Raw genomic sequence first — 9,439 nt, 5'->3', positions numbered from 1 at the left:
ATAATTATAATATTCATTTGAAATACAATTAGGTTAATTTGCTTTAGTTTGTTTTCCTGTTTAATTTTATTTTTTGAACATTTAGAATATTAACGTGCTTTCAAAAGTCAAACCTCGTTATAAAGACATTTCAGAGAAGGGTCACTCCCTCCTATATTCCTTCCACCTTATTTTCCTCTCACCTCTTACGGGTAACCAACTTCATTTCTTCCTGGTTTATCCTTCGTGTGTGTGTGTAAAGATAAATAGCTATGTGTATGTTTCATCATTCCTTCTTACACAACCGATAGCATACTCTATATGCTCTTCTGCAATTTGCTTTTTTCGCTTGACAGAATGTCCTGCAAAGCACTTCTTATCAGGCCATGGAGATCTTCCTCATTCTTTTGTTACAGCAGCATTCCATTGTGTAGAGGTACCATAATTCATTCAGCTACTCTCCTATGCTTGGGCATGTAGGTGGTTTCCAATATTCTGCAGTGATAAACAGTGTTGTAATGAATAACTTCGTGGACATGTGTTTTCATATTGCCAGAGGTGCTTCTTCAGGTGAACTCCCTAGAAATAGGGTAACTGGTTTGAAAAGCAGATCCATACATAAATTGTTAGATATTCCCCATCCCCACTGCATTGCAATGATACAATTTTGCATTCCTACCAGCATTGTGAATAAGTGTATGTTTCTCATGGTTTTTTTTGTTGCAAATGGTTGATGCTTGCTGCATAACTCAGAGGTCCCTAGCCAGGAGATGCTCTGCTCTCCCCACTTCCCTCATCTGTGAGGCCATCCTCCTAGGGTTGTTTTAGGAGAGGCCATCCCCTGTGCCGTCACTGGAGGGGAACATGTAAGCAGCTGAGTAGACCTCTCATGACCATGGTTTGAGGAAGATTTTTTTTTTTAAATTACTGTGATAAAAACAAAGTAACATATATGTTCATTATAGAAAATACTTGCATGCAAAACAGAAAAATTTCATGTACTTCCACCTCCCAAAGAGGCAATTATTAACACTTAATTTCCTTTCAGATTTAATTTGTAAAATCTTTAATTTTGCTTTTCTTTTTAAAATTTGAAGTAATTATAGATTCACAGGAAGCTGCAAAGAAATTGTATCATGGAGAGATCCCATGTGCCTTTCATCCAGTTTCCCCCAATGAATACATCTTATATAACTATAGTTCAACATCACAATCAGGAATGATACTGGTGCAATGTGTGTGTGTGTAGTTTCAATTGATCACATGATCATGTAAACGCCACTGCAATCAAGTTACAAAACGGTTTTATTGCCACAAAGTTCTCCCTGGTGCCACCTTTTCATAGTCACGCCCACTTCCCTCTTTTCCCCCATCCCTAACCCCTGTCAGCCACCAAGTTGTTTTCCATCTCTATAATTTTGTCATTTCAAGGATGTTATATAAATGGGATTGTACAGTATGTGACCTTTTGCGAGCGACTTCAATATTTTACTCATGCATAATGCCCTTGAAATCCATTCAAATACAGTTGGCACTTGCACAATGCGGGGATTAGGGGTGCTGAACTCCGCCCAGTTGAAATTAATTTTTGAGTCCCCCAAAATTTAATTACTAATAGCTTATTGTTGAATGAAAGCCATATTTTGCATGTTCTGTGTATTATATACTGTATTCTTACAATAAAGTAAGCTAGAAAAATGTATTAAACTCATAAGAAAGAGAACATATGTTTACTATTCATTAGGTGGAAGTGGATCATTATGAAGGTCTTCATCCCCGTTGTTTTCATGCAGAGGAAAAGGAGGAAGAGGAGGGGTTAGTTTTGTTGTTTCAGGGGTGGTAGAGACAGAAGAAAATCTGCTTATAAGTGGACTTGCACAGTTAAAGCCCAAGTTGTTCAAGGGTCAAATGTAGTTATATATCAATAGTTCGTTCCTTTTTATTACTGAACACTTTTCCACGTACTATAGTTTGTTTAATCATTCAGTTATTGAAAGACAACTTGGCTGTTTTTGTTTTTTGGGTATTACAAATAAAGCTACTATAAACATTCACCTATAGGATTTTGTGTGGATCTGTTTTTTTTTTTTTTTTTTTTTTGAAACAGAGTCTCACTCAGTCACCCAAGCTGGAGTGCAGTGGTGCGATCTCTACTCACTGCAACCTCCGCCTCCCGGATTCAACTGATTCTCCTGCCTCAGTCTCCTGAGTAGCTGACATTACAGGCACCTGCGACTATGCCTGGCTAATTTTTTGTATTTTTAGTAGAGACAGGGTTTTGTCATGTTGGCCAGGCTGGTCTTGAACTCCTGACCTCAGGTGATCTGCTGCCTCGGCCTCCCAAAGTGCTGGGATTTCAGGCGTGAGCCACCGTGCCTGGCTTGAGTTTCTATTTCTTTGGGATAATGCTCAGGGGTGCAATGGCTGAGTCATATGCTAAGTATCTGTTTAGTGTTTTAAAGAAATTGCCAAACTATTTTCCCAAGTGGCTGCACCATTTTACATCTCCATCAGCAAGGTGTGGGAGATGCAGTGTCCCTGCATCCTTGGCAGTGTTTCATATCGTCGCTGTGATTGTTTTCAAGTTTAGTCGTTGTAATAGGTATGTAGTTAATGTTTTATCGTGGTCTTACTTTGCTTTTCCCTAATGGCTAATGATGTTGATTAAATATCTTTTCCTGTGCCTATCTGCCATTTGTGTATCTTTTTCAGTGAAATCGCTCTTCGATGAAGAGAAGATTGTGTGCAAAGGAAAAGAACTGAATAACTAAAACAATTCTGAAAAAAAAAGAATAAAGTAGGAGGTAGCACTCTCCCTGATTTCCAAATTTATTATATAGCTACAGTAATCATGACTGTGCGGTACCGTGAAGAGAGATTTCACTGAAAAATATAGATTGTTGTTTGGTTTTGTTTTTACTGTTGAGTTTTGAGAGTTATTTGTATAGTCTAGATAGGTGTCCTTTATTAGATTTATGATTTGCAAATATTTTCTCCTAGTCTGTAGCTTATATTTTCACATTTACTTTTTTTTCTTATCTTTTTTTATTTCCATAGGTTTTTGGGGAATAGGTAGTATAAGTTCTTTAGTGGTGATTTGTGAGATTTTGGTGGACTCATTACCGGAGCAGTATATACTGAACCCACTTTGTAGTATTTTATCCCTCATCCGCTTCCTACCTTTCCCCCACCTGAGTCCCCAAAGTCCATTGTATCATTCTTATGCCTTTGCATCCTCATAGCTTAGTTCCCACATATCAATGAGGACATACGATGTTTGGTTTTCCATTCCTGAGTTATTTCACTTAGAATAATAGTCTTCAATCCCACCCAGGTTGCTGTGAATGCCATTAATTCATTTTTTATGACTCTGTATTATTCCATCATATATATATATATATATACACGTATATATATACATATATATATACATATATATACATATATATATATATATATATATATACCACAGTTTCCTTATCTACTCATTGATTGATGAGTATTTGGGTTGGTTCCACATTTTTGCAATTGGGAATTGTGCTGCTATAAACATGTGTGTGCAAGTGTCTTCTTTGTATAATGACTTCTTTTCCTCTTGGTAGATACCCAGTAGTGGGATTGCTGGATCAAGTGGTAGTTCTCATGTGAAACTATTGAGGCCTGGAGATTTCCTTTTCAGGAGTTTTAAAATTTAAAAACCAGTTTCCTTAATAGTTGTAGGGTTATTCAAATTCTCTATTTCATATTGGGTTAGTGGTGGTAGTGAGAGGTGACAGCGTGCTGGCAGTCCTCAGAGCCCTCGCTTGCTCTCGGCACCTCCCCTGCCTGGGCTCCCACTTTGGTGGCATTTGAGGAGCCCTTCAGTCCCCCACCGCAGGGTGGGAGCCCCTTTCTGGGCTGGCCAAGGCCGGAGCCCACTCCCTCAGCTTGCAGGGAGGTGTGGAGGGAGAGACACGAGCGGGAACCGGGGCTGTGTGCGGCACTTGCGGGCCAGCTGGAGTTCCGGATGGGCGTGGGCTTGGTGGGCCCCGCACTCGGAGCAGCCAGCCAGCCCTGCTGGCCCCGGGCAATGGGGGACTTAGCACCCGGGCCAGTGGCTGCGGAGGGTGTACTGAGTCCCCCAGCAGTGCTGGCCCACCGGCGCTGCGCTCGATTTCTCTCCGGGCCTTGGCTGCCTTCCCACGGGGCAGGGCTCGGGACCTACAGCCCGCCGTGCCTGAGCCTCCCTGAGGAGCGCCACCCCCTGCTCCACGGCGCCCAGTCCCATCGACCACCCAAGGGCTGAGGAATGCGAGCGCACGGCGCAGGACTGGCAGGCAGCTCCACCTGCAGCCCCGGTGCGAGATCCACTAGGTGAAGACAGCTGGGCTCCTGAGTCTGGTGGGGACGTGGAGAGTCTTTATATCTAGCTCAGGGATTGTAAATACACCAATCAGCATCCTGTGTTTAGCTCAAGGTTTGTGAGTGCACCAATTGACACTCTGTATCTAGCTGCTCTGGTGGGGCCTTGGAGAACCTGTGTGTGGAAACTCTGTATCTAACTAATCTGATGGGGACGTGGAGAACCTTTGTATCTAGCTCAGGGATTGTAAACGCACCAATCAGCGCCCTGACAAAACAGGCCACTCGGTTCTACCAATCAGCAGGAGGTGGGTGGGGCCAGATAAGAGAATAAAAGCAGGCTGCCTGAACCAGCATAGGCAACCCGCTCGGGTCCTCTTCCACGCTGTGGAAGTTTTGTTCTTTCGCTCTTTGCAATAAATCTTGCTACTGCTCACTCTCTGGGTCTACGCTGCTTTTATGAGCTGTAACACTCACTGCGAAGATCTGCAGCTTCACTCCTGAGCCAAGCCAGACCACGAGCCCACCGAGAGGAACGAACAACTCCAGACGCGCTGCCTTAAGAGCTGTAACACTCACTGCGAAGGTCTGCAGCTTTACTCCTGAGCCAGCGAGACCAGGAACCCACCAGAAGGAAGAAACTCCGAACACATCTGAACATCAGAAGGGACAGACTCCAGACACGCCACCTTAAGAGCCGAAACACTCACCTCGAGGGTCCACGGCTACATTCTTGAAGTCAGTGAGACCAAGAACCCACCAAGTCCGGACACAGTAGTTTTTGCTTTTTTGAGGAATTAGTTCTTTTTATGTAAATTATCAGATTTATGTGTGTAGAGCTGTTTTGTTTCAATCCTTTATTATCATTTTGTTGTCAGCAAGGCTTGTAATGATATCCACTGTTTCTTTCCTGACACTGGTGATTAATTTTCTGATAAATTGGTGATAAGTAATTTCATTATTTTCTTTCTCAATAATGCTAGAGGTTCATCAATTTTGATTGTTTGTAAGAACCATCTTTTTTAGGGGGAGGGGATCTTACTCTGTTACCCAGGCTGGAGTGCAGTGGTGCAATCACTGCTCACTGCAGCCTCAGTTTCCCAGGCTTAAGTGATCCTCCTGCCTCGGCCTCCCGACTAGCTGGGACTACAGGTGTGAGCCACCGTGACTGGCCAGAACCAACTTTTTGCTTTGTTGGTTTTCTCTATTCAATTTTATTGATTTTTGCCATTTGCTATTTTATTTCTTCTGTTTGATTTGGGTTTCTTTTTTTTTTTTTTCCCTAATATCTTGAGTTGGGAGCTTAGATGACCAATTTGATACTTTCCCTCTTGTCTACTGTAAGCATTTTTGTGCTATAAACTTCTCTCGAAGCACCGCTTTAGTTCCATCCTACAAAATTTGATGTGTTGTGTTTTCTTTTTCATTCAGTTCAATGTATTTTTGTTTTCCCCCAAGACTTTTTCTTTGACCTGTGGCTTAGTTAAAAGTGTAGTGTTCAGCTTCCAAGTATCTGGAGATTTTGTTCTTATCTTCCTGTTAGTTATTTCTAGTTGGATTCCACTGTGGTCAGAGAACACCCTGTATGGTTTCAATTCTTTCAAGTTTGTTGAGGTTCTCTAGCCCAGGACATGGTTTATTTTAGTATATGTTCTGTGAATGTTTGGAAAGAATGTGTATTTCGCTGTTGTTGGATTAAATGTCCTGTCAATGTCAATTAGACCTTGATTGCTGGTGGTGTTGAATTCTTCTATCCTTGCTGATTTTTTTTTTTGTCTAGTTGTTCTAACAATAGTTGAGAGTAGTGCTGATGTCCCAAACTGTAATTGTCAGTTTATGCGTTTCTCATTTCAGTTCTGTCCATTTTTCCTTCGCATATTCTGTAGTTCCGTTGTTTGGTGTGTACACATTTGAGATTGCCACATCTTTTTGGTGGAGCGACTCTACTATCATTATGTTCCTTTCCGTCCCTGCTAATTATCTTTGCTCTGTTCTTTATCTGATGCTACTATAACCATTCTTGCTTTCCTTTTATTAATATTGACATAGTATATCTTTTTTTTAATCCTTTTCAACCTGTGTGTATGATAATATTTGAAGTAATTTTGTTGTGGCTATCATTTAACTGGCTCATTTAAAAAATACAGTCTGTAAATATAAATCCATTAATTGGTATATTTAGGCTATTAAATTTAATGTAATTATTGTTATGTTAGGACTTAGGTCTGCCAATTCATTTTTTTTGTCTTCTGTTTGTTTTTTGGTTTTTTGTTTTTCTGTTTCCTTTTTCTTGCCTACTTATGGGTCACATCAATATTTTTTTAGAATCTCACTTTATTTATCTGTAATGTTTTTGAGTGTGTCTCTTTGTATAGACTTCTTAGCAATGGCTGTAGGTATTATGTATAGAGTTTATCACAGCCTATTGGTTTTGACGTTTTACCAGTTCAAACAAAATATAGAAGCCTTACCTCAGGGCCAGGCCCAGCACAGTGGCTCACACGTGTAATCCCAGCACATTGGGAGATCGAGGCAGGCAGACCACTTGAGGCCAGGAGGTTCCAGACCAGCCTGGCCAACATGGTGAAACCCCGTCTCTACTAAAAATACAAAAATTAGCCGGGCATGGTGGCGCGTGCCTGTAGTCCCAGCTACTTAGGAGGCTGAGGCACGAGAATCTCTTGAACCCGGGAAGCAGAGGTTGTAGTGAGCTGAGATCGTGCCACTGCACTCCAGCCTGGGCAACAGAACAAGACACAGTTAAAAAAAAAAAAAAACAAAAAAAACCTTACCTCCCTTTAATACCATTATCTTCTCCCATTTATAATCATTTATAATATTATTGTCTTAATATTTTCTTTACATACATTGAGAATCACATCAGACAGTGTTACAATTTTTACTTTAACTATTAAATGTAATTTAGAAAATTCAGTTAGAGGTGTGAAGATCCTCTGGAAAAAAAGGGAAAGAAAACTCAAGAAGAAAAAGAAAACCCCTTCCTCTCCCCTCTCCCCTTTTTCTGTCCTCTCCTCCCTCCCTCTTTCTCCTTTTCTTTTCTTCCTTCTCTATCTTTCTTTTCTCCTGATGTTCCAGATTCCCTTCTTTTACCATTCTTTTCTGTTTTAATAACTCCCTTTCTCTATTCTTTTAGGGTAGGTCTGCTGGCAACAAATTCTCTTAGTTTTCCTTCATCTGAGAATGTGTTGGTTTTTCCTGAATTCTTTTTTATTTTATTTTTAAAAATTTGTTTATTTTAATTTTTATGGGTACATAGTAGGTGTATATATTTATGGGGTACATGAGATGTTTCGATACAGGCATGCAATGTGGAATAATCACATCATAGAGAACGGGGTGCTCATTCCCTTAAGCATTTATCATTTGTATTACAAACAATCCAGTTACTCTTGGATCCAATTTACAATTAGATCCAATTTCCAATCCAAATGCAATTACAATTCAATAACTCTTTTAGTTATTTTATTTTATTTTATTTATTTTTTGAGATGGAGTCTTGCTCTGTTACCCAGGCTGGAGTGCAGTGGCGCAATCTTGGCTCACTGCACTTCCGCCTCCTGGGTTCAGGCAATTCTCCTGCCTCAGCCTCCAAGCCTGCCTAATTTTTGTGTTTTTAGTAGAGATGGGGTTTTGCCATGTTGGCCAGGCTGGTCTCGAACTCCTGACCGCAAGTGATCTGTCCGCCTCAGCCTCTCAAAGTGCTGGGATTATAGGAGTGAGTCACCCCACCCGGCCTCTTTTAATTATTTTAAAATGTACATCTCTCTCATTCTTGAATGGTTATATACATAATATATACATATAATTGTATATACATTTATATACATATATACATATTTTATATGTATACCTATAAATGTATATACATTTATATACATATATACATATTTTATATGTATACCTATAAATGTATATACATTTATATACATATATACATATTTTATATGTATACCTATAAATGTATATACATTTATATACATATATACATATTTTATATGTATACATATAAATGTACATCTTTTTCATTCGCTGGTTATAGAATCCTGGGTTGACAGTTCTTTAGAACTTATAAAATGTTATGCTTCTTTCTTCTGGCTTTCATAGTTTCTGATGAGAAATCTACTTTCATTGAAATTGTTTTCTTCCTATGGGTAAGGTATCATTTGTCTTTCACTGCTTTCAAGATTTTAAATTCATCTTTAGCTTTCAACAGTTTGATTATGATATGCCCTGGCATAGATTCATTTGGGTTTATTCTGTTTGGGTGTATTAGTTTTTTTTTTTATTATTTATTGCTGCCTAACAAAATTATCACAAATTTGGAGGCTTAAAATAACATTTATTTTACTATTATTTCTTAATATATCAACTATTTACAATCATAAAGGTATATCACAAGATCAGTTATTACATCAAACATGTATTTTCCATCTACACTCTGTCCTGTAGATGAGAGCCCAAATGAGATTTTCACTGAAACATTTATTTTTTGTTTTTTTTTGTTATTTTTTCTTGTTGGTCTTTAATGAAGGCTAGGCATAAACTGAATTGACTTTCATGCAGTTGCTTTTCATTTTTCATTTTTCATTTTTTTTTTTGAGACAGAGTCTCAATCTACTGCCCAGGCTGGAGTGCAGTGGCATGATCTCGGCTCACTGCAGCCTTTGCCTCCTGGGTTCAAGCGACTCTTCTGCCTCAGCCTCCCCTGTAGCTGGGATTACAGGCATGAGCCACTGTGCCTGGCTAATTTTTGTATTTTTTAGTAGAGATGGGATTTCGCCATGTTGGCCAGCTTGGTCTCGAACTCCTGACCTCAGGTGATCCGCCCACCTCTGCCTCTCAATGTGCTGGGATTACAGGCATGAGCCATCGCGCCTTGCCATGATTTTTATTTTTCATTAGTGCTCATGGTATATGCTGCCCAGTGAGTTGTACCAACTACATTATTGTAACATCTGAATCAACTGTGGGCTACATTGTTTGATCAAGATTGATAGATTGCTTTATTTATTTATTCTTCTTTTACAACTATAGCCTACAGATAAACAACCATTATTACAGAGATTAAACTTGATTATGCTACATATCATATTACATG

At 39.6% G+C, this 9,439-nt stretch overlaps 1 annotated feature.

Annotated features, from left to right (window-relative positions):
• Positions 262-462: a silencer, noted in NCBI's record as "peak3502 fragment used in MPRA reporter construct". NCBI's record gives its function as "represses an SCP1 promoter by STARR-seq MPRAs in K562 erythroleukemia cells {active_cell/tissue: K562}" and the evidence as "EXISTENCE:reporter gene assay evidence [ECO:0000049][PMID:32103011]".

The sequence above is a fragment of the Homo sapiens genome, chromosome 19, assembly GCF_000001405.40.
Source record: "Homo sapiens chromosome 19, GRCh38.p14 Primary Assembly".
NCBI lineage: Eukaryota > Metazoa > Chordata > Mammalia > Primates > Hominidae > Homo > Homo sapiens.
This window is presented reverse-complemented; position numbering and strand designations above follow the sequence as displayed.